This window comes from Homo sapiens, chromosome 16 (assembly GCF_000001405.40).
Source record: "Homo sapiens chromosome 16, GRCh38.p14 Primary Assembly".
NCBI classification, from domain to species: Eukaryota; Metazoa; Chordata; class Mammalia; order Primates; family Hominidae; genus Homo; species Homo sapiens.
This window is the reverse complement of record NC_000016.10, coordinates 18,994,669-19,020,061: the sequence shown is the minus strand read 5'-3', so window position 1 is coordinate 19,020,061 and position 25,393 is coordinate 18,994,669. Positions and strand designations below refer to the sequence as shown.

The 25,393-nt window shown below is 47.6% G+C and overlaps 1 protein-coding gene and 1 pseudogene across 9 annotated transcripts in view; both read right to left on the bottom strand.

Annotated features, from left to right (window-relative positions):
* The window catches only part of TMC7 (transmembrane channel like 7), an 80,009-nt gene that overhangs the window by 43,881 nt on the left and 10,735 nt on the right, over window positions 1-25,393 (bottom strand). For 8 of the 9 annotated variants that reach the window (NR_136733.1, XM_047434662.1, NM_024847.4 and 5 more), the window contains 2 exons: window positions 10,647-10,890; window positions 3,464-3,612 (listed from right to left, as the gene is read on the bottom strand). Coding sequence is in view for 6 of the 9 variants with exons in the window: in NM_024847.4 (NP_079123.3) it covers window positions 3,464-3,612; window positions 10,647-10,890 (393 nt within the window). In the remaining 3 variants the exon portion in view is untranslated. Of the gene's footprint in view, window positions 1-3,463; window positions 3,613-10,646; window positions 10,891-13,276; window positions 13,368-25,393 lie in introns of those variants that run through there. The other variant, XM_047434661.1, reaches the window with a different exon arrangement.
* On the bottom strand, window positions 7,799-7,905 carry RNU6-1340P (RNA, U6 small nuclear 1340, pseudogene; annotated as a pseudogene).

Genomic DNA, 25,393 nt, shown 5'->3' with positions numbered 1-25,393 from the left:
TTGATTTGCAAATAGAAAACCAACCTTCCGCTAGATAATGATTAAATTGCTGAGGATAGAAAGCATTCTGAAGAGCAAGGATGGCTTCTTGTTCTTGGTAGGGGCAAAGAACTTATTACTGGAGACCGAAGATATAAGATACCCACAGTTTTTTGCCACTGTCTAATACTTAGCAATCTGCCAGAGGCAAGAAATTTAATTATCACACCTGCACTTCATGTCAGATGAGCACCTACCCAGCCAAGAAATCACAGGGGTAGAGTAACTGCAGAGAAAATCAAAATCCCGGTTCCCAGGGAGAACCTACCGTCTACCACACAAGCCACTTTCTGAATGAAAATCTGAAGAAAGCCTACCACTTCACAAGAGAGGAAGCTAGACATAGTGGCTAAAACCTTGGACTCTACATCTTGAATGCCTGGGTTCAAACCCTGCTTCTGCCTCACCCTGTCTGAGTGAACCTGGACAAGATCTCAAACTCTCTGAGCCATGCAAATGACAAGTACCTAAATGAAAGTTTCCTTTGAAGATTAACTGAGGTAATGAGTGAAGTGCTTAACACAATGCCTGGTTTATAGTAAATGTTCAGTAACAGTTAGCTTTTATTATTTTGCTCCAAACATAATGTTAAACTTAAATCTCAAGAGAAAAAGTATGAGTGCATGGTTAAAGTCTTAAGTGAGCCAAGAAGCCTTTTAGAAATATGTTATATTCTCCAAATAAAACAACAATAAAAAGGTAGCTCATTGGATAGATTGCCAATTGTATTTTATAGGTCTTAAAATAGTAATAATGGAGACAATCATTTCCTTTGTTTATCCTACTACATTCCTTACAAACCTCACAAAGTTTCCATTTTAGCAGTTTTGGGGAGATGTTTGAAAAATGTTTTGCTGTAAAATAGATAATCCTGGCCGGGCGTGGTGGCTCACGCCTGTAATCCCAGCATTTTGGGAGGCCAAGGCAGCCAGATCACCTGAGGTCAGGAATTCAAGACCAGCCTGTCCAACATGGTGAAACCCTGTCTCTACTAAAAATACAAAAATTAGCCGGCCTGGTGGCACGTGCCTGTAGTCTCAGCTACGTGGGAGGCTGAAGCAGGGGAATCACTTGAACTTGTGAGGCGGAGGTTGCAGTGAGCCAAGACTGCACCATTGCCCTCCGGCCTGGGCAACAAGAGCGAAACTTTGTCTCAAAAAATAAAATAAAATAGATAATCAAAAAAATGTTTAATGTTTCTAATTTTGTATTTTGGTTTTTTTTTATTTTCATTTTTATTTTTAGATTAAATAGAGACAGGATCTTACTATGTTACCCAGGCTGGTCACAAACTCCTGAGCTCAAGTGATCCTCCTGCCTCAGCCTCCCAAAGCACTAGGATGGGGGCATGAGCCACTGTGCCTGGCTAATTTTGTATTTTGGCACAACTTCCCATTTTTGCATACTTGCTATGGACTGAATTGTGTCCCCACCCTCAAATTCGTATGGTGAAGCCCTAACACCCAGTGTCATGGTATTTGGAGATGAGCCTTTGGGAGGTGATTAGGTTTCAATGAGGTCTTGAGAGTGGTGTCCCATGATGGGATTAGTGTCCTTATAAAAAGAGACACCAGAGAGTTTGCACTCTTTCTCAGAGCACACTCAAAGCAAAGGTTACGTGAACACAGCAAGAAGGCCTGTTCGAGCCTCCAAAACTATGAGAAAAAAAAGTTTCTGTTTTTTAAGCCATCCAGTCTGCGGTATTTTGTTATGGCAGCCCAAGCCAACTAATAACAATATTTTAATCCCAAATTCTCACCATTATAGGAAAGTAGGGGTTCACAGTATTTTCAGGGCCACAGGAACTCTTTGCAGTTTGGTAAAAGTGATGAACCTCGACTCAGGATAATAAGGCTTTCTGTTTGTTTATTTATGTTTTTGTTTTGAGACAGGGTCTGGCTCTGTTACCCAGGCTGGAGTGCAATAGCACAATCATAGCTTACTGCAGCCTCAAACTCCTGGGCTCAGGTGATCCTCCTGCCTAAGCTTCCCCAGAAGCTGGGACTATGGGCATATAGCACCACATCCAGCTAATTTTTAAAGCTTTTTTTGGAGCCAGGCGTGGTGGCTCACGCCTGTAATCCCAGCACTTTGGGAGGCCGAGAAGGGCGGATGACGAGGTCAGGAGATCAAGACCATCCTGGCTAACACGGTGAAACCCCGTCTCTACTAAAAATACAAAAAATTAGCCAGGCGAGGTGGCGGGCACCTGTAGTCCCAGCTACTCGGGAGGCTGAGGCAGGAGACTGGCGTGAACCCCGGGGGGCGGAGCCTGCAGTGAGCCGAGATTGCACCACTGCACTCCAGCCTGGGTGATAGAGCAAGATTCAGTCTCAAAAAAAAAAAAAAAAAAAACTGTTTTTTGAAGAGGCAAGGTCTTAAACTTTGTTACCCAGGCTGGTCTCAAACTCCTGGGCTCAGATGCTCTTCCTGCCTCAGTCTCCCAAAATGCTAGGATTACAGGCATGAACCACCACCTGGCTGGGATAATGTTTTTAATAATATGATAACTGTATGTCTGTTTTTATTTTATGCATTGAAATTAAAAGTATAACATTTTAAAATAATATATTTATGCATAATATTTTAATGCATGAAATAATAGTTTACTAATATTAAAATATTATAATTTAATATTATTTTTAAATAATACTATTTTATGCATTTAATTTAAATTAAATTATTAAATAATTTAATATTATTTTTAAATAATACTATTCATGCATTTCATTTAAATGCATAAGATAAAAAGATATACAGTTATCATATTATTTTAAAAATATGTGTGATAGAATAACCTATGTGAGCATCATGAGCACCTTTACTGGCACTTCTTTTGAGACAGAGTCTCACTCTGTTACCCAGGCTGGAGTGCAATAGTGCGGTCTCAGCTCACTGCAACGTCCACCTCCCAGGTTCAAGTGATTCTCATGCCTCAGCCTCCCAAATAGCTGGGATTACAGGCATGCACTACCATGCCCAGCTAATTTTTTGTAGTTTTAGTAGAGACGGGATTTCACCATGTTGTCCAGGCTGGTCTCAAACTCCTGAACTCATGATTCACCCACCTTGGCCTCCCAAATTGCTGGGATTACAGGAGTGAGCCACTGCGCCTGGTCTTCACTAGCACATTAAATAACAAGATCTAGTGGGAAGTCTAATAATGACTGAAATTTCCAAGTATTCATGGGTATTAACGGTATTCCAAGATAAATACAACAACTGGAAGGGACAGGAAAATATCCACGATTTTTCCTGGTGACAAAGTCACAGGTTCTGCTAAACCTTGCTGTGGTTTGTTGCTCACATTCATCATGGAAAGAAATGCTCAATTTCAGCTAGACCCTAGTGGAAACGAAGCTGTACTTGCTCCCCAGACACAGACTTCTGCGGAGGAGCCTGCAGAGAGGTGAGGACAGCATACCTTCTATGCTGCGGATGTCCTCCCGCCACAGCTCCAGGTGGGTCGTCATCTCTCGAGCCTTCTCTAGGAACCTCTTCCAAGACTTGCTGCTATACCGCTTCCACTGGTCCCATTCGGAGAGATACTTCATTTGTGTCTCTTGAATGTCCCTGCATGGAAAACATGATCATGACAATGACAACAACAGCAGCATCAAGACTCAGCATCCCAGCCTGGCACAGTAGCTCACGCCTGTAATCCCAGCACTCTGGGAGGCCGAGGCAGGTGGATCACCTGAGGTCAGGAGTTCAAGACCAGCCTGGCCAACATGGTGAAACACCATCTCTACTAAAAATACAAAATTAGCCAGGTGTGGTGGCGGGCGCCTGTAATCCCAGCTACTCCACGAGGCTGAGGCAGAAGAACCTCTGGGAGGCGGAGGTTGCGGTGAGCCGAGATGGTGCCATTGCACTCCAGCCTGGGCAACAAGAGTGAAACTTCATCTCAAAAAAAAAGAAAGAAAAGAAAAGAAAGACTCAGCATCTCATAAAATCCCAGCTGAAAGGACAGAGAAATATGTGAGCTCTCATACATTGCTGCAAGGAATATAAAATGCCGCCGCTATGGAAAAAAGTTTGGCAGTCCGTCAAAATGTCAAACAGAATAACCATGTGCCATGTAGTTCCACTCCTAGGTACATACAAAGAATTGAAAACAGGGCTCTCAAACAAAAACTTGTCATGAGGCTGGGCGTGGTGGCTCATGCCTGTAATCCAAGCACTTTGGGAGGCTGAGGCAGGTGGATCACCTGAGGTCAGGAATTCGAGACCAGCCTGGCCAACATAGTGAAACTCCATCTCTACTAAAAATACAAATTAGCCAGGCATGGTGGTGGGCGTCTGTAATTCCAGCTACTTGGGAGGCCGAGGCAGAAGAATTTCTTGAACCCGGGAGGCGGAGTTTGCAGTGAGCCGAGATCATGCCACTGCACTATGTTGGCCAGTCTGGGCAACAAGAGTGAAACTCGGTCTCAAAAAAAAAAAAAAAAACTTGTCTTGAGTGTTCGTAGCAGCATTGTTGCTAATAATCAAAAGGTAGAAACAATCCAAATGTCCACTGACAGATAAGTGGATTTTTTTAAATGTGGTCTATCCACACAATAGGATATTATTCAACCTCAGAAAGGAATGACGGGCCAGGCACAGTGGCTCATGCCTGTAATCTCTGAACTTTGGGAGGCTGAGGCAGGAGGATTGCTTGAGCCTGGGGGATCAGGCTGCAGTGAGCTGAGATCTCACCACTGCACTCCATCCTGGGAGACAGAGCAAGGCCCTGTCACAAAAAAAAAAACAAGGAGGCCAGGCACAGTGGCTCACACTTGTAATCCCATCACTTTGGGAGGCCAAGGCAGGCAGATCACATGAAGCCAGGAGTTCAAGACCAGCCTGACCAACATGGCGAAACCCCGTCTCTACTGAAAATACCAAAATTAGGTGGGCATGGTGGCAGGCACCTGTAATCCCAGCTACTAGGGAGGCTGAGGCAGGAGAATCGCTTGAACCCGGAAGGCGGAGGTTGCAGTGGGCCGAGATGTTGCCATTGCACTCCAGCCTGGGTGACAGAGCGAGACTCCATATCAAAAAAAAACAAAAAAACAATTAAATAAAAATAATAAAAATAAAAGCCAAAAGAAAAATAATATTTTGTGACACATGAAAATCACATGAAATTCGAATTTCAGTGTCCATAAATATTCCTAGAACACAGCCATGCCAATTCATTTATGAACCATCTGCAACAGGAGAATTAAGTAGTTGCAACAGAGACTACACGGCCCACAAAGCTGATCCTGAGTCTGGAGGGAAGGCAAACAGGCTGACGTCCAACAACGACAGCTCCCTGGGGGAAGTGCTACAAAAGGGGATGTGGTCAGAGCTCTGGAAACCTGGAGGAGGCGCCCCAAGTCCAAGTTGGTGTTGGAGCAGGGAGTAAGGAGAGCAGGGGAAAGAGAAGGTGCTGGGGCCTGAAGGCGAGAGAGGAAACATGAGGAATTTGCCAGCCATCCATGGCATATGGCACACGGCACACGCCTCCACCCTCCCACCAGTCTGTCCTCCATCAGACAGGGAGCTCCTATTAAAGAAAAGGACTTGAACCTTCCATCCAAACGAGCCTCGCAGTGCTGTGCATTGGGTTCCTTATCTGTAACTTGGAGTTAGTAAAGTACCTACCCTTAGATCAGTGGTTCTCAAGTGGGGGCGATTTTGCATACCCCCCAAGGAACATCAGGCAATGGTCTGGGGACATCTTTGATTGTCACAACTTGGGGGAGGGGGACATGCTTCTGGCATCTAGTGGGTAGAGGCCAGGGATGTTGCTAAACATCCTCCAATCCACAGACAGCCCTCCACAACAGAGAACTATCTGGCCCCAAATCTCGATAAGCAAGAGTGCGGCCAGGTGTGGTGGCTCACGCCTGTAATCCCAGCACTTTGGGAGGCCGAGGCAGGCAGATCACAAGGTCAGAAGATCAAGACCATCCTGGCTAACACGGTGAAACCCCATCTCTACTAAAAACAAAATAAAAAATACAAAAAAATTAGCTGGGTGCGGTGGCGGGCACCTGTAGTCCCAGCTACTTGGGAGGCTGAGGCAGAAGAATGGCGTGAACCTGGGAGGCAGAGCTTGCAGTGACCCAAGATGGTGCCAGTGCACTCCAGCCTGGGCAATAGAGCGAGACCCCATCTCAAAAAAAAAAAAAAAAAAAAGCAAGAGTGCTAAGGTTAAAAAAACCCTCCCTCGGCCGGGCGCAGTGGCTCATGCTTGTAATCCCAGCACTTTGGGAGGCCAAGGCAGATGGATCACCTGAGGCTAGGAATTCCAGACGAGCCTAACCAACATGGTGAAACCCCGTCTCTACCAAAAATAAAAAAAATTAGCCAGGCATGGTGGCAGGTGCCTGTAATCCTAGCTACTCAGGAGGCTGAAGTGGGACAGTCGCTGAAACCCGCGAGGCAGAGGTTGCAGTGAGGCGAGATGGCACCACTGCATTCCAGCCTGGGTGACAGAGTGAGATTCCGTCTCAAAAAAAATAAATAAAATAGGCCAGGCACGGTGGCTCATGCCTGTAATCCCAGGACTTTGGGAGGCCGAGGCAGGCGGATCACCTGAGGTCGGGAGTTTGAGACCAGCCTGACCAACATGGAGAAACCCTGTCTCTACTAAAATACAAAATTAGCCAGGTGTGGTGGTGCATACCTGTAATCCCAGCTACTAGGGAGGCTGAGGCAGGAGAATCGCTTGAACCCGGGAGGCAGAGGTTGTGGTGAGCCGAGATCGCACCATTGCACTCCAGCCCGGGCAACAAGAGCGAAACTCCGTCTAAAAATAAATAAATAAAATAATAATAATAATTTGAAAACCTTGCCTCAGAGGGTGGAGTGGGGATTAAAGGAAATAAAGAGCTTAGAATAACAACTATTAGCAATTAGAATTGTCCTTCCTGGCCCGGTGCGGTGGCTAAGCCTGTAATCCCAGCACTTTGGGAGGCCAAGGCAGGCGGATCACCTGAGGTCAGGAGTTCAAAACCAGCCTGACCAACGTGGTGAAACCCTGTCTCTACTAAAAATTACAAAATTAGCCAGGCATGCTGGTGGGTGCCTGTAATCCCAGCTACTCAGGAGGCTGAGGCAGGAGAATTGCTTGAACCTGGGGCAGGGAGGTTGCAGTGAGCCGAGATCCCGTCTCAAAAAAAAAAGAATGATCCTTTCTCCTTTCTGTGTCCTTTTCTTTGCCACTTTCTTTTTTTTTTTTTTTTTTTTTTTTTTTTTTGAGATGGAATCTCACTCTGTCGCCCAGGCTGGAGTGCAGTGGCACGATTTTGGCTCACTGCAACCTCCGCCTCCTGGGTTCAAGTGATTCTCCTGCCTCAGCCTCACGAGTAGCTGGGATAACAGGCAACCGCCACCACACCTGGCTAATTTTTGTATTTTTAGTAGAGATGAGGTTTCACCATGTTGGCCAGCCTGTTCTCGAACTCCTGACCTCAGGTGATCCACCCGCCTTGGCCTCTCAAAATGCTGGGATTGCAGGCATGAGCCACCGCACCCAGCCTTCTTTGCCACTTTCTAGGGATTCACTGGTAAACCAGATAGACATGGGCCCTGCTCATGAGAGTCTGTTAGTTTCATTTTTCCAGTGAGCCTGGAAGTCCCTTGATGGAAGAAAATATGTCTCTCTCTTAGGTGTGGCAGAGTTTGGCATAGAGCAGTAATAGTTTATAAGAATTCAAAATCTGTGAATCTGAAAGAGTGGGAAATAAAATACATTATTTATTTATTTGGTTTTTAAATAAATTTATATATGGAACACTTCATGAATTTGTGTGTCATTCTTGCTCAGAGGCCATGCTAATTTTCTCTGTATCGCTCCAATTTTAGTATATGTGCTGCCAAAGGGAGCACTAAAATACTTTTTTTTTTTTTTTTTTTGAGACAACATCTCACTTTTTCACCCAGACTGAAGTGCAGTGGTGCCATCTTGGCTTGCTGCAGCCTCAACCTCCTGGGCTCAGGTGATCTTCCCTGAGTAGCTGAGACTACAGGAGTGCACCACCATGCCCAGCTAAATTTTGTAATTTTAGTAGAAACAGGGTTTCACTACATTGCCCAGGCTGGTCGCGAACTCCTGAGCTCAAGTGATCCACCTGCCTCAGCCTCCCAAAGTGCTGGGACTACAGGTGTAAGCCACTGTGCCAGCTAAAATACATTTATAAAGTCTCAATATTTTTTGAGAATACAAGACCACCCAAATTAAAAATAAAACCAAAGATAATGTATTCTCAAACCTACAAGGTACAGTGTATCATCCAATGTGTTATTTTGTTTTGCTATTTTCTTCATAGAGACAGGGTCTTACTCTGTCACCCAGGGTGGAGGGTAGTGGCAGAATCATAGCTCACTGCAGCCCTCCTAGCCCTGGGCTTGAGTGATACACCTACCTCAGCCTTCTGAGCAGCTGGGACTATAGGCACACATCACCACACCCAGCTAATTTTTCTATTATTATTATTTTATTTATTTATTTATTTATTTATTTATTTATTTATTTATTTTGTAAAGACAGGGTCTTGCTATGCTGTCCAGGCTGGTCTAGAATTCCTGCTGTCAAGCAATCCTCCTGCGTCAGCCTCTCAAGTTGCTGTGATTACAGGCATGAGCCACTTTGCCTGACCTTTCTAATGCATTTATGCTACTGACCCTGTGGGGGGCAGTAATTCGAGAGTTAAGCAGAAATAACCACCTCTGTCATTACACCAGGTCAATCGGAAAATTATGTTTTAAATTCTTCAAGAATGGGGGAGATGGCAAGCTACCACCCAAATCCATTCTCCCCTTCTCTGGCACTAGCTGGAGACACTTCCCAGCCTTCCTGGCAGTTAGGTATGACCATGTGGCTAAATTCTCTCTGGTAGAAATGTAAAGAAAAGTGATATGTGCACCTTTCAGACTTGGCTCTTAACCCACTCCCAAAACTCCCGATTACTCAATGAATGTGTGAATGCCTCGTGGCCATGTGACTTTACAGCTCTTCTCATTAGCGGGAGGAATATTTTCCCACCGATTGAATCTGGACTGTGATCTTGTTAGACCACAGACTGCAGTAGGAGGGAAGCTGAGCTGGTTTTAAGCCTAGTCCCAAGAGGTTCTGCAGGCTTCCGATCCTCTCTTGGGCTCCAGCTGTTGCCATGCAAACAAACCCGAGCTATCCTGATGATACCATGTGATCATCCCAGCTGAAGCCACCCCAGACCAGCTTACAGCCAGCTGATCCCCAGCCTAGATCAGCAGAGACACCTCCCCAACCACAGCCGACTATGGATAAAGATTCAGCCCAACTGAAACTAGAAGGATTTGTCCAGCTGACTGGTAGACTTGAGAAACTATTGTTTTAGGCTACTCCGTTGTGGGGTGATTTATTCTGCTGCGTAGCTGACTGGTATACTCATACTGCAAACTCTTTCTTTTTGTACTGCTTGGTTGCAGACAAAAATGAGGCTTTAGGGGTATGCAGAGCCACAAGATGGAAAGAGCCTGGGTCCCTGAATGGCTGCAAAGTCCCCCACTGACCTGAACCTAGTACTTTATGCTAGCAAGAAATAAACTTCTGCCAGGCACGGTAGCTCATGCCTGTAATCCCAGCACTTTGGGAGGCCAAGGCGGGCGGATCACCTGAGGTCAGGAGGTCGAGACCAGCCTGGCCAACATGGTGAAACCCTGTCTCTACTACAAATACAAAATTAGCTGGGCATGGTGGCACATGCCTGTAATCCCAGCTACTCGGGAGACTGAGGCAGGAGAATCGCTTGAATCCAGGAGGTGGAGGTTGCCGTGAGCCAAGATCATGCCATTGCACTCCAGCCTGGGCAACAAGAGTGAAACTGTGTCTCAAAAGGAGAGGAGAGGAGGGGAGGGGAGGGGAGGGGAGAGGAGAGAGGGGAAAGGGGGAAGGGGAAAGGAAAAAGGAAAAAGGAAAGGAAAGGAAAGGAAAGGAAGAAGAAGAAAGAAAGAAAAAGAAAGAAAGGAGGGAGGGAGGGAGGGAGGAAGGGAGGAATGAAGGAAGGAAGGAAAGAAAGAAAGAAAAGAAAGAAAGAAAGAAACTTCTTTTTTTTTTTTTTTTTGAGCTGGAGTCTCACTCTGTTCCCCAGGCTGGAGTGCAGTGGCGCAATCTCGGCTCACTGCAAGCTCTGCCTCCCGGGTTCACGCCATTCCCCTGCCTCAGCCTCCAGAGTAGCTGGGACTACAGGCACCCGCCACCATGCCCAGCTAATTTTTTGTATTTCTAGTAGAGACGAGGTTTCACCATGTTGGCCAGGCTGGTCTCGAACTCCTGACCTCAGGTGATCCACCCGCCTCAGCCTCCCAAAGTGCTGGGATTACAGGCGTGAGCCACCGCGCCCGGCCTGGAAAGAAACTAACATGTTGAGTATGTTTGGGTGTCTTTTTTTTTTTCTTTTTTAAGGCTAGTCAAGTGAAGCAGTAGGAGTGGAGAAGAAAATTCAGGTATGTTTGTCAAAGAGGCTTAGCTTACCCTAAGGAATAAAATTTTAATTATATGAGCTCTTCAGGAAATGCATTTCACGCACAAAACATACCTCTGGGCCATAACATACACAATGCAGGTTCCAGGTGGCTAGTGAACAAACCTTAGTCTCCGCTTCTCAGAGATGTTCAGTGCATAATTTCGAAGAGAATGGCTGCTGAGGTTTTCAGCGATTCTGTCCTCCAGCTGGGAGCTGTAAGAGTCGGTTGGCTTTAGCAAAGTTCCGCTTTGCTTGTCCCGGGAATGGACAGTCGTTCTCCTACGTGCAATGGACCGGTAGCTTGGCAATTCTTGGAGGAAGTTCACAGGTGGAGAAGAGAAGCAACTGGAGTCTAGAGAGAGGTTCTCTATGTAAAAGAAAAGAAAGTCATCATTCACTCCAGTGAGTTCGGAAGCCAAGCAGGAAACTTGGATCTTGGACATCATCACTGAACCTTGCAGATAGTTACTAGCCTGGGTCAGTGACGACAGCATTTTGATCTTATTTTATTTACCACAGTGGTGCTCAGGACAATGAAATCATCTGCAGATGGGCTCGCTTTCTGCAGATGTGTTTGCAGACATGCTTTAAATTGCACAATATCTGATCTCCAGTGTTTGGCTACAGACACTAGCTAAAAGCATGGCCTTGGGCAAGTTATCTAAACTTGCCCAAAGTTTTAAATATTTTAAATATCTGTCAAATGGGGCTGGTAATATTTGCTCCAACTTCCTCCCACAGTGTAGGGTATAGTAATGTATTCAATAAAACTCTAAAAAGCATAAAGTATACCATGCAAATGCATGGCAACAACATCAGCAACAATAATAATAGCATTTCCTGTGTGTCAGGCATGGTGTTAAGAGCTTCACACATATTCATGGGATCTGGGCTGGCCTCCTGATCTGCTTGGACCAACAGAACACAGCAGAAGTGATGCTGGGCCAGTTCTAAGCCCAGCCTTAGGAGGTCTTGCAGACTTCTGCTTGTCTCTGGAGCCCAGCCAGAACAAGCCTGAGCTAGCCTGCTGGAAGATGAGACTATGTGGGATGACTGCCCCAGCTGAGGCCGCTCCAGACCAGTCTTCAGCCAGCTTGACCGCCCTGCTAACCACAGACACTCAGAATGAATGACATTCCTAATTTGCTTGCATTTAGAGAGCTGGTGATTGGGAGCACTGCAGACAAAGCCAGGGCTGACTCCAAAACCCTTATCGTTTCTATATCAGGCCAGAGCTAGAAGCCAAGCTTTGCTGTGTCTTGGGCAGCAGGCTAAGGCAGGCGGGCTTTCTGCTGAAGGGGAGGGAAGCTACCTTCAAGATGGGTTTTATCCCTGATCAGATTTTAGTTGCAGGAAGATCACTCTGAGTGGAGACAGACAGGACTCAGGGAGAAGAGGGGGCAGGCAGCCATAATTACCTAAGCAATTACCCCTATGCAGCAAAGCTTCTATGCAGCAAAGCTTCATGATCAATGCCAAATGCTTGAGTTTGGATCCCCACTCTGTCACTTATTAGCTGTATGTCTTTGTGAAAGTTACTTAACCTTTCTAAGACTCAGTTTCCTCATCTCAAATACTCATTCAACAACTCTATCTACCATATGTCATATCTGGAACTAAGGGAACTGCAGTGAACAAGGCAAGTGCCCTACTCACGCGGCAGTTATATTCTGAGATGAGGGAGAGGGATATCAAATAATAAACAGGCAGTAAATATTATGCCAGGAAGTGATAAGTGTAATGAAAAAAAAAAAAAAGAACAGAGTGGTGTCAGGGGACAGAGGTGATATGAGAGGGGTAAACTGTTTTTGATAAGGTGGGGTCAGGTATTGTCTCTCTTTATTTTATTTATTTATTTTTTTTTTTTTTGAGACGGAGTCTCGCTCTGTCACCCAGGCTGGAGTGCAGTGGCACGTGATCTCGGTCTCTCTTTAAAGGTGACATTTAGCTAAGGCTGAATGAAGGGAAGGGGTGAGACCCCTGGATATTTGGGGAAAAGCACCCCAGGCAGAGGGAACCCATAAGTGGAAAGGCCCAGCGGCAGAAGAGTGTGTGACAGGTTGGAGGAAGAGTTAATGAGCAAGAACCTGGTGGGCGGTTTCGTTGGTGGCCTCCAATGAGCCACACTGGCCTGGCCCTCTGCGTGGTCCCCTCCTTGAATCTGCACAGGACCTGTGCTTGCTTTAACCAAAGGACTCAATGGAAGTAATGCTCTGCCATTTCCAGCCCAAAGTCATAAGAGGGCCTTGCAGTAGCCACTTCTGTGTTCTCGGGCCAGGGTTACCTGGTAGGAAGTCCAACTGCCTAGGACAATGAGGTGGAGAGGAAGAGCCCCTAAGCCTACAAAAAGAACCAACAACCTGGGTGACTGCAAGAACCAAGGCCCCAGGCTCGTGTCTTCAAACCCCTGGGACAGCCAGGCACGGTGGCTCACACCTGTAATCCCAGCATTTTGGGAGGCCGAGGCAGGCGGATCACCTGAGGTGGGGAGTTCAAGACCAGCCTGGCCAACATGGTGAAATCCCATCTCTACTAAAAATACAAAAAAAAAAAAACTAGCTGCACGTGGTGGCACGCGCCTATAATCCCAGCTACTCAGGAGGCTGAGGTAGAAGAATAGCTTGAACCTGGGAGGCAGAGGTTGCAGTGAGCCGAAATTGGACCACTACACTCCAGCCTAAGCGACAGAGCAAGACTTTGTCTCAAAAAAGCAAAACAAAAGAAAACAAAAAAAACCCCTGGGGCATCCTCACCAGGCATCGCCATGATGAGGCCATCTTGGGTGCTCCAGCGCCAGCAGACATCCCAGGCAGCAGTGCAAGCGGGCTCCCCCGTGCCCTGCATCGTCCCTGATGCACAGAATCAGCAGAAATAACAACATGGCTTAAGCCAGCACATTTGGAGCAGTGTGTTGAGCAACAATAGGTATTTAGGACAGGGAGAATGGAAACGTTAAAGTCAGAGGGGTGGCTGGGGTCGAACCAAGTCAGGCTTTGTAGACTGTGGCAGGACCTTGGGATGTTGTGCTTTGACTGCATTTTAAAAGGTCACCCTGGGCCGGGCACGGTGGCTCACGCCTGTAATTCCAGCACTTTGGGAGGCCAAGGCAAGGGGATCACCTGAGGTTGGGAGTCCAAGACCAGCCTGACCAACATGGAGAAACGCTGTCTCTACTAAAAATACAAAATTAGCTGGGCACGCTAGCGCGTGCCTGTAATCCCAGCTATTTAGGATCGCTTGAACCCAGGAGGCGGAGGTTGCAGTGAGCCGAGATCGTGCCATTGCACTCCAGCCTGGGCAACAAGAGCGAAACTCCGTCCAAAAAAAAAAAAAAAGGTCACCCTGGAGGCTGCAAGGGCAAGGCTGGGGTCAGGACTTGCTACACAGCCTGTTTATGAACATTAAAGGGGATCACATGGGTAGAAGGTCCCAGGCAGTGCTCGGCACACACAGAGCTCCATAAAGGCACCAACCGGATGAGGATGGGCAGGGGCAGGGCCAGGTGGGGACCGGTCAAGGCCTGGCTCTGACACTGTAATCTTTGCCTTTCTCGGATAGGCAAGTTCAGACACAATGGAGCAGCTGTCCCACTGTAGATGACACATGGACACGTGGCTGGGGCCCTGCCAATCACCATGTGCAAGTCTACGAGCCTCACCCACCCTTCTACCTCCCTGCCTGGCACACCCTGAGGATATGACACACTTCCATTAGTGGCAGTGGCTCCCTAGAGCCAATATGAGGGTAGGGTGGGTGTGGTCCCTGAAAAGGAAAAGGGTCTAAGCCCTGCATGGAGGCTACCCTCCTGCAAGCAGAAACAAAGAGCTATTATTAGCCACAAACAAAGGTCTTTGAATATAGAACAGCATGGACCTACTGAATATTCAACAGCTGTGGGGTCAGGGGCCCCAGGCTGGAGCCTGGGTTGGTTTAAAATACTGGCCTGTCACCCACCAGCCAAGCCACCCCAGGAGAGACCACAGCTGCCTCAGAGTCACATTTTTCTCATCTCGGGAATGGAGGATCTAATACCATGGGCCTCATCAGCATGATGGTGAGGAAGGAGTTGCAAACAACATGAACAACACTGGCTAAGATTTATTGAGTACTTGCCTACCTTGTACCAGGCCATTTAAAGTATTTAACATGCGGGCCAGGCGTGGTGGCTCACGCCTGTAATCCCAGCACTTTGGGAGGCCGAGGCGAGTGGATCACGAGGTCAGGAGATCAAGACCATCCTGCTAACATGGTGAAACCCCATCTCTACTAAAAATACAAAAAAATAGCCGGGCATGGTGGCGGGTGCCTGTAGTCCCAGCTAACTTGGGAGGCTGAAGCAGAAGAATGGCGTGAACCCAGGAGGCAGAGCTTGTGGTGAGCCAAGATTTTGCCATTGCACTCCAGCCTGGGCGACAGAGCGAGACTCCGTCTCAGAAAATAAATAAATAAATAAATAAATAAATAAATAAATAAATAAATAAAATAAAGTATTTAACATGCATCGTCACACTTAATACTCCGAACTACTCTTTAGAGAGAATTATCCCCATTGTGCTGGTGTGGTCTCAGCTACTTTGGGAGGCTAAAGCAGGAGGATTGCTTGAGCCCAGGAATTCAAGACCAGCTTGGTCAACATAACAAGACTCCAATTCCAAGAAAAAAAAAACCCAAAAGACAAACAAAAGAATTATCTCCATGTTACAGATTAATAACTGAGGCTCAGACAATTAGTAAGTGTTGCTTGCTCACACAGTAAGTGTTGGAACTAGGAACCCATCACAGGTTTATCAGACCCCAAAGCTGTAGTCTTCACCATGAAAAAATTCAGGGGGCCATGGATTTAAAAGTGTTTGTAAATGTTAAAATACCGTATAAGCTGGGCACGGTGGCTCACGCCTGTAATCCCAGCACTTTGGGAGGCTGAGGCAGGTGGATCACTTGAGGTCATGAGTTCAAGACCAGCCTGGCCAACATGGTGAAACCCCGTCTCTATTAAAACTAGAAAAATCAGCCAGGCATGGTGGCAAGTGCCTGTAATCCCAGCTACTCAGGAGGCTGAGGCAGGAGAATTGCTTGAAGCCAGGAGGCGGAGGTTGCAGTGAGCCGAGATCACGCCACTGCACTCCAACCTGGGCAACAGAGCAAGACTCCATCCCAAAAAATATATACAAATAAATAAATAAAAATAAAAATAAAATTCCATACAAATCAACTAGGTAATTATCCTGTTTTTCATACACCACCTACCCCCTCCTAGGAAGAACTGTTCTGATTTTTCCTCTTTAGACACTCCAGGGAAGTTCCTCAACTTCAAACAAAAAATGTCACGACCATGTCTTTGAACACAGGCATCATTATTTTTATAACTAGGATCCACCCCCTCGTTTGCATATAACACACACTTTTCCCAGCATGACGTCACCTCATTTCTCACGCCAACCTGCAGAGGTAAGCACAGAGGGCTTCACTTGCCCTGGTATTTTTTTTTTTTTTTTTAAATTTATTTTTTTATTGATAATTCTTGGGTGTTTCTCACAGAGGGGGATTTGGCAGGGTCATGGGACAATAGTGGAGGGAAGGTCAGCAGATAAACAAGTGAACAAAGGTCTCTGGTTTTCCTAGGCAGAGGACCCTGCGGCCTTCCGCAGTGTTTGTGTCCCTGATTACTTGAGATTAGGGATTGGTGATGACTCTTAACGAGCATGCTGCCTTCAAGCATCTGTTTAACAAAGCACATCTTGCACCGCCCTTAATCCATTTAACCCTGAGTGGACACAGCACATGTTTCAGAGAGCACAGGGTTGGGGGTAAGGTCACAGATCAACAGGATCCCAAGGCAGAGGAATTTTTCTTAGTGCAGAACAAAATGAAAAGTCTCCCATGTCTTCTACTTTCTACACAGACACAGCAACCATCCGATTTCTCAATCTTTTCCCCACCTTTCCCGCCTTTCTATTCCACAAAGCCGCCATTGTCATCCTGGCCCGTTCTCAATGAGCTGTTGGGCACACCTCCCAGACGGGGTGGTGGCCGGGCAGAGGGGCTCCTCACTTCCCAGTAGGGGCGGCCGGGCAGAGGCGCCCCTCACCTCCCGGACGGGGCGGCTGGCCGGGCAGGGGGGCTGACCCCCCCCACCTCCCTCCCGGACGGGGCGGCTGGCCGGGCAGAGGGGCTCCTCACTTCCCAGTAGGGGCGGCCGTTGCCCTGGTATTTTTTATTTTTTTTGAGATAGGGTCTTGCTCTATTGCCCAGGCTGGAGTGTAACCTGAATTCCTGGGCTCAAGCGATCCTCCCACCTCAGCCTCCCAAATAGCTGGGACTACAGATGCACACCACTACACCTGGATAATTTTTTTCTTTTTCAGTTTTTAGTAGAGACGGGGTCTTGCTTTGTTGCCTAGGCTGGTCTCAAACTCCTGGGCTCAAGTGATCCTCCCGCCTTAGCCTCCCAAAGGGCTGGGATTACAGGCATAAGCCACCACCCTTGGCCTGCTCTGGCTTTCCAACAGGGAAACTGAGGCCCAGGCATGGTGACTTGCCCAAGACTTGAGTGTCAAGACAGACTCCTGGTTTTACCACAGGTCATTTCACCACTTAGAGCCTTGATGTCCTTCTCATCCTTAAAGAATAAGATCATCTCATTACAGTTATTGTCAGACATTCTACTGAATTGGTCCAGCCAAGAGCCTTGCTGTTGGGATGGCCACTGTAGTCCTGTGGTCAGCGTGGGCTGCTGTTGACCATCTGCACAGGAGCAGGTAGCATATTTCAGATATTGGGGTGCCTCTAAGAATGCCTAGAACTTCTTGGTCACTGGGGCCAGATTTCAGCAATTAGGAGATTATTACTTAGGTAGGAGGATGACTGGGTAATTCCAGGAGACATGAGGGAGCAGGGCCAGGCATAGCCAATTTTTCTGCCATATACTATTCTTCCAGGTTAAGGACAAAGTCTCTCTGAGGCTTAAAAGCGGTGTCTTGCTCACAGAAGGCCCTCCATCCGGGCTGGGCACTGTGGCTCACGCCTGTAATCCCAGCACTTTGGGAGGCCAAGGCGGGTGGATTACCTGAGGTCAGGAGTTCAAGACCAGACTGACCAACATGGTGAAACCCTGTCTCTACTAAAAAAATACAAAATTAGCCGGGCGTGGTGATGCATGCCTGTAATCCCACTACTTGGGAGGCTGAGGCAGGAGAATCACTTGAACCCAGGAGGCGGGGGTTGCAGTGAGCCGAGATCACTCCATCACACTTCAGTCTGGACAACAACAGCAAAACTCCATCTTAAAAAAAAAAAAAAAAAAAGCGGCCCTCCATCTGAAGAATGAATGAATGAATGAATGAGCAGTGGCAGAGGCAGGTACATCTGGTGAGCATCCTGAGGTCCTTTCTTGGCAACTTTTCCCACAGGACACCACATCCTACCAACAGGCATGAACCTCCCAGGATGTGGGCACCAGCCAAGTATGATCTAAATGGCACTAAAACCACCACCAGCTTCCCCCGCGTTCTAGCCAAGAAACTTGCCCAACCGTATTTGGTGCTGAGTTCACAGCAGGGGTTTGTTTCCCACACAAAGTATCATGGAAACTCTGGGTAAAAAGGGACCTTGTAGGTCACTGGATCCAGGCCTCTCACCAGCTGCTATGGGAATTAGTTCTGTTTGACAACTTGCGTGGATCCTCTCTCTGGGCCAGACTCCAGACTGGAGGTTGGGACTCTGGAGAAGATGAAGACTTGCTCTGTGCTTTGATGAGCTTTTGCTCACTCCTTCAAACACCACATAGCTCCTAAGTACCCACTCCACCGCACTCACTCACCCCTGTTACTACTCCATCCTTTTTGTGTTGTTTGTTTAAGACAAGGTTTTGCTCTGTTGCCCAGGCTGGAGTGCAGTGGTACCATCATAGCTCACTGCAGCCTTGATCTCCCAGGCTCAGGCAATACTCCTCGCCTCAGGCTCCTGAGTAGCTGGGACCACAGGTGTGCACCACTACACCCAGTTAATATGCATATATTTTAATAGAGATGAGGTCTCGTTATGTTGCCCAGGCTAGTCTCGAACTTCTGGGCTCAAGTGATCCTCCCACCTCAGCCTCCCAAAGTGCTGGGACTATAGGTGTGAACCACCACACTCAGCCTACTCTGTCCTTTTTAATTTTTTACTTGTGTGTTGTCTCTGACTCTATAACTTCTATGAAGGCAGGGACCTTATCTCTTTCTGTCACTGCTGAATTACCAGGGTCTAGCACAGAGCCTGGTACAGGACAGATGCTTAATAAATACCTTCTAAGTTGAATGAATGAATAATTCAGGAATGAATGAATTTGATGCTGAGGATACAAGATAGGTTAGATCACCCACCACGCCAACCAAAGTACTTTACATACCAGGAAAGAAAGGGTGTCAAAAAAATGAGTAAAAGATTTTAGGAATTTAACCCTTGAATATTATTCTTCTCTATATGAATGATGTATTTTTTTCACAATACAAAACATTTTGTTGTTTTGTTTGGTGTTTTATTTTTGAGACAGGATCTCACTCTGTCACCCACACTAGAGTGCAGTGGTGCCATTTCCACTCACTCTGCCTCCCAGGCTCAAGCAATCCTCTGGCCTCAGCCTCCCAAGTAGCTGGGACTACAGGTGTGTGCCACCACACCCAGTTAATTTTTTGTATTTTTAGTAGAGATGGGGTTTTACCATATTGCCCAGACTGGTCTCAAACTCCTGGACCCAAGCAATGCACCTGCTTCCACCTCCCAAAGTATTGAAATTACAGGGGTGAGCCACCGTACCTGGAACAAAAATAATTTACAGGGTAAAAAAAGCTGGCAAAAAATATTGACTGGGATGTTGACCATATATCACATTCTTCCTATTTCAGGTACTCTACACAAACCAGCCCTATTAGAAATGTGCTTTGCTTTTTCTTCTCATGAAATGATAAAATGTCATGCATGCACACACAATTTGATATTACCGATAAGTCGATGTAGATATCAATCTCAGAACATTATGGACTTCTTTTCACTTGAATTGTTTTTATTTTTTGTTTTTGCTTTTGAGACAGAGTCTTGCTCTGTCACCCAGGCTGGAGTGCAGTGGTGCAGTGGCGCAATCTCAGCTCACTGCAACCTCTGCCTCCCGGGTTCAAGCGATTCTCCTGCCTCAGCCTCCCAAGTAGCTGGGATTACAGGCGTGTACCACCACGCCCGGCTAATTTTTTGTATTTTTGGTAGAGACAAGATTTCACCATGCTGGCCAGGCTGCCCTCGAACTCTTGGCCTCAAATGATCCACTTGCCTCAGCCTCCCAAAGTGCTGGGATTACAGGCGTGAGCCACCATGCCTGGCTGAATTGTTTTTATTTTGGATGTTAAGTGGAGGGAGGGTGTCCAGATAATCTGTGTTTACAGCTACTAAAGGGTCTTAACCCAAGAACTCATAAAGCCCGGACTCTGCCCGGCGTGGTGGCTCGCAGCCTTCGTGATTACACGCCTGTAATCCCAGCACTTTGGGAGGCTGAGGCGGGTGGATCACGAGGTCAGGAGATCGAGACCATCCTGGCTAACATGGTGAAACCCCGTCTCTACTAAAAATACAAATAATTAGCAGGGCGTGGTGGCGGGCACCTGTAGTCCCAGCTACTCTGGAGGCTGAGGCAGGAGAATGGCGTGAACTCGGGAGGCAGAGCTTGCAGTGAGCCGAGATCGCGCCACTGCACTCCAGCCTGGGCAACAGGGCGAGACTCTATCTCAAAAAAAACAAAAACAAAAACAAAAAAACGTCCCCAGACTCTAGTTGAAGCTGCTATGACATGTCAATCAATTGCAAGAAGCCCTCCAAAGCCAGTGGCTGATCATTGCCCTGCTCCTGGAAAGACCACCCACCCATCCATCTATTCATGTATTCACCCACCAGTCAGTCACTCAGAAACATTTACTGAGCAACTATCACCACTCAAGCACTGTTCTAGGACTACAACATAGCCTTGAAGACCACACACCATTTCCCTGCTTTTACGAAACTTACATTCTATTTGGAGGAGACAGACATTAAACAAGTAAAAACAATGTATTTCAGATGTTGATAAGTGCATGGAGAAAAATAAGTCAGGGGTGCGGGCATGGTGGCTTACCCTTTGTTGGGCTTCGGCAATGAAGGGCATGTTCTATATCTGCACTGTCCAATACAGTGGCCACTGGCCACATGGGACTATTAAGCAATTGAAATATGACTGGCTGGATGCAGTGGCTCATGCCTATAATCCCAACACTTTGAGAGGATGAGGCGGGAGGATTGCTTGAACCCAGGAGTTCAAGACCAACCTGGGCACCATAGTGAGACCCTGTCTCTACAGAAAAATAAAACATTTTTTTGGCTGAGGTGGGAGGATCGCTCGAGCCTGGAAGGTTGAGGCTGCAGTGAGCTGTGATGGAAGCAATGCACTCCATCCTAGGTGACAGAGAGAGACACTGTCTCAAAATAAATAAATACAGCATAGAGGGGCCTCAATCACAGCAGCCCAGAGCTTAGTCTGAGAGGGGAGGAGCCAGAGGCCCTGGTAGCCTCCCGGATCTGCTAGACTTTGTAACAGTAGTGTCAGGAGAAACTGCATGACTCACGTCAACTGGCACCTGGGTGGGGCCGGTGACTGGCTGGGTCTAAGGCTTTACAAACAGATGAGCAAACAGCCTTCAGGAGCAGTGACTAACTCCATCATAAGAGCTGCTGCTGGGCCTGGAACTCAAGCCCTCAAGCCCCTGCTTTTCTTTTTTTTTTTTTGAGACAGAGTCTCACTCTGTCACCCAGGCTGGAGTGCAGTGGCTTGATTTCAGCTCACTGCAAGCTCCGCCTCCTGGGTTCACGCCATTCTCCTGCCTCAGCCTCCCAAGTGGCTGGGACTATGGGTGCCCGCCACCACGCCCGGCTAATTTTTTGTATTTTTAGTAGAGACGGGGTTTCACCATGTTGGCCAGGATGGTCTCGATCTCCTGACCTCGTGATCCACCCGCCTCAGCCTCCCAAAGTGCTGGGATTACAGGCGTGAGCCACCGCGTCCAGCCAAGCCCCTGCTTTTCATGCCCGTGGAGCATCTGGTCAGGGGTCTGTGGGGCAGTTACTGCAATTCTGTCTGTCCGAGAAGGTGGCAAGGCCTGGCAGTTAAGAGCACAGTTTCCCAACCCACCCTGCCTGGATTTGGACACCAGCCTCACTTGCTGCCTGCATAACCTGGCAAGTTTCTTGACCATTCCATGCCTTGGTTTTCCCACCTATAAAATGTAGACAGCGGTTCCTACCTCCTATAGCTGTCCTGAGGATTAGATGGCAATCATATGTAATGTGCTTAGAACAGACGTCAGCAAACGTTTTCTGTAAAGAGGTAGGAATTTACTATTTGCAATTACTCAGCTTTGTCCTTGTAGCAGGAAAGCAGCCACAGATAATCCATAAACGAATGAGCATGGCTGTGTTCTACTAAAGGTTGAATTACAAAAAAAAAGGTTGGCCAGGCTTGGTGGCTCACGCCTGTAATCCCAGCATTTTGGGAGACCGAGGCGGGCGGATCACGAGATCAGCAGATCGAGACCATCCTGGCTAACATGGTGAAACCCCGTCTCTACTAAAATACAAAAAAAAAATTAGCCGGGCATGGTGGTGGGTGCCTGTAGTCCCAGCTACTCGGGATGCTGAGGCAGGAGAATGGTGTGAACCCGGGAGGCGGAGCTTGCAGTGAGCCGAGATCGTACCACTGCACTCCAGCCTGGGCGACAGAGCAAGACTCCATCTCAAAAAAAAAAAAAAAAAAGGCTGGATTTGGCACAGGAGTTGTTTGCAGATCCTTGGCTCAAAACAGTGCCTGAGGCCGGGTGCGGTGGCTGGGTGCGGTGGCTCAATCCCAGCACTTTGGAGGCCAGAGGTGGCTGGATCACCTGAGGTCAGGAGTTGGAGACCAGCCTGGCCAACATGGCGAAACCCTGTCTCTACTAAAAATACAAAAATTAGCTGGGTGTGGTGGTGGGCGCCTGTAATCCCAGCTACTTGGGGGGCTAAGGCAGGAGAATCGCTTGAATCCAGGAGTCAGAGGTTGCAGTGAGCCGAGATCACACCACTGCACTCCAGTCTGGGTGACAGAGTGAGACCCTGTCTCAAAAAATAAAAAGGCCAGGCACGGTGGCTCATACCTGTAATCCCAGCACTTTGAGAGGCCAAGGCAGGCTGATCACTTGAGGTCAGTGTCAGGCCTCTGAGCCCAAGCTAAGCCATCGTATCCCCAGTGACCTGCACATATACATCCAGATGGCCTGTTTGGTGTTCTCTTCACATAGACATGTGAGACATTTGATGCCAAAACCCAGGACGGGAGGACTCCTTCGGGAGACCGGTCCCCTGTCCTCGCCCTCACTCCGTGAGGAGATCCACCTATGACCTCGGGTCCTCAGACCAACCAGACCAAGGAACATCTCACCAATTTCAAATCAGGTAAGCAGTCTTTTCACTCTTCTCTGGCCTCTCTCGCTACCCTTCAATCTCCCTGTCATTCCAATTCCAGTTCTTTTTCCTCTCTAATAGAGACAAAAGAGACACATTTTATTCGTGGACCCAAAACTCCGGCGCTAGTCATGGACTTGGGAAGACAGCCTTCCCTTGATGTTTAATCACTGCGGGGACACCTGCCTGATTATTCACCCACATTTCATTGGTGTCTGATCACCGCAGGGATGCCTGCCTTGGTCATTCACCCACATTCCCTTGGTGGCAAGTCAATTGCGGAGACGCCTGCTTTGGCTGCTCACCCACATTGCAGCCCAGGGCTGCTCTCCACCCCCTTCTCTGTGTCTCCACCTTTCTCTTTAAACTAACGTCCTTCACTATGGGCAACCTTCCGCCCTCCATTCCCCCTTCTTCTCCCTTAGCCTGTGTTCTCAAGAACTTAAAACCTCTTCAACTCGCACCTGACCTAAAACTTAAATGCCTTATTTTCTTCTGCAATACTGCTTGGCCCCAATACAAACTCGACAGTAGTTCCAAGTGGCCAGAGAATGGCACTTTCGATCTGTCTATCCTATAAGATCTAGATAGTTTTTGTCGAAAAATGGGCAAATTCCTACAAGATCTAGATAATTTTTGTTGAAAAATGGGAAATGGTCTGAGGTGCCTGACATCCAGGCATTCTTTTACACATTGCTCCCTCCCTAGTCTCTGCTCCCAATGCGACTTGTCCCAAATCTTTCTTCTTTCTCCTGTCTGTTCCCTCAGTCACCACCCCAAGCTCTGAGTCCTTTGAATCCTTCTTTTCTACAGACTCATCTGACCTCTCCCCTTCTCCCCAGGCTGCTCCTCGCCAGGCCAAGCCAGGTCCCAATTCTTCCTCAGCCGCTGCTCCCCAACCCTAGGATCTATCTGTCACCTCCCCTCCTCACACCCAGTCTGGCTTACAGATTCGTTCTGCAACTAGCCCTCCCCTACCTGCCCAACAATTTCCTCTTAAAAAGGTGGCTGGAGCTAAAGGCAAGTCAAGGTTTCTTTATCTGACCACTCCCAAATCAGTTAGCATTTAGGTTTTTTTTCATCAAATATAAAAACCCAGCCCAGTTCATGGCATGCTTGGCAACAACCCTTAGACACTTTACTGTCCTAGATCCAGGAGGAAGGCTGTCTTATTCTCAATATGCACTTTATTACCCAGTCCACTCCTGACATTGGAAAAAGCTCCAAAAATTAGATTCCGGCCCTCAAACCCCATAACAGGACCTTATTAACCTCGCTTTCAAGGTGTACAATAATAGAGTAGATGCAGCCAAGTAGCAACGTATTTCTGAGTTGCAATTACTTGCCTCCACTGTGAGAGAAACCCCAGCCACATCTCTAGCACACAAGAACTTCAAAACGTCTGAACCGCAGCGGCCAGGCGTTCCTCCAGGACCGCCTCCCCCAGGATCTTGCTCTAAGTGCTGGAAATCTGGCCACTGGGCCAAGGAATGCCCGCAGCCCAGGATTCCTCCTAAGCCGTGTCCCATCTGTGTGGGACCCCATTGGAAATTGGACTGTCCAACTCGCCCGGCAGCCACTCCCAGAGCCCCTGGAACTCTGGCCCAAGGCTCGCTGACTGATTCCTTCCCAGATCTTCTCAGCTTAGTGGCTGAAGACTGATGCTGCCTGATCACCTCAGAAGCCTCCCGGACCATCACGGACGCTTTGGGTAACTCTTACAGTGGAGGGTAAGTCTGTCCCCTTCTTAATCAATACGGAGGCTACCCACTCCACATTACCCTCTTTTCAAGGGCCAGTTTCCCTTGCCTCCATAACCGTTGTAGGTATTGACAGCCAGGCTGCTAAACCTCTTAAAACTCCCCAACTCTGGTGCCAACTTGGACAACATTCTTTAATGTACTCCTTTTATTTATCCCCACCTGCCCAGCTCTTATTAGGATGAGACATTTTAACTAAATTATCTGCTTCTCTGACTATTCCTGGGCTACAGCCACACCTCATTGCCGCCTTTTCCCCCAGTTCAAAGCCTCCCTCACATCCTTTCCTTGTATCTCCCCACCTTAATCCACAAGTATAGGACACCTCTACTCCCGCCTTGGCAACGGATCATGCACCCCTTACCATCCCATTAAAACCTAATCACCCTTACCCCGCTCAATGCCAATATCCCATCTCACAGCACGCTTTAAAAGGATTAAAGCCTGTTATCACTTGCCTGTTACAGCATGGCCTTTTAAAGCCTATAAACTCTCCTTACAATTCCCCCATTTTAGCTGTCCAAAAACTGGACAAGTCTTACAGGTTAGTTCAGGATCTGAGCCTTATCAACCAAATTATCTTCCCTATCCACCCCGTGGTGCCAAACCCATATACTC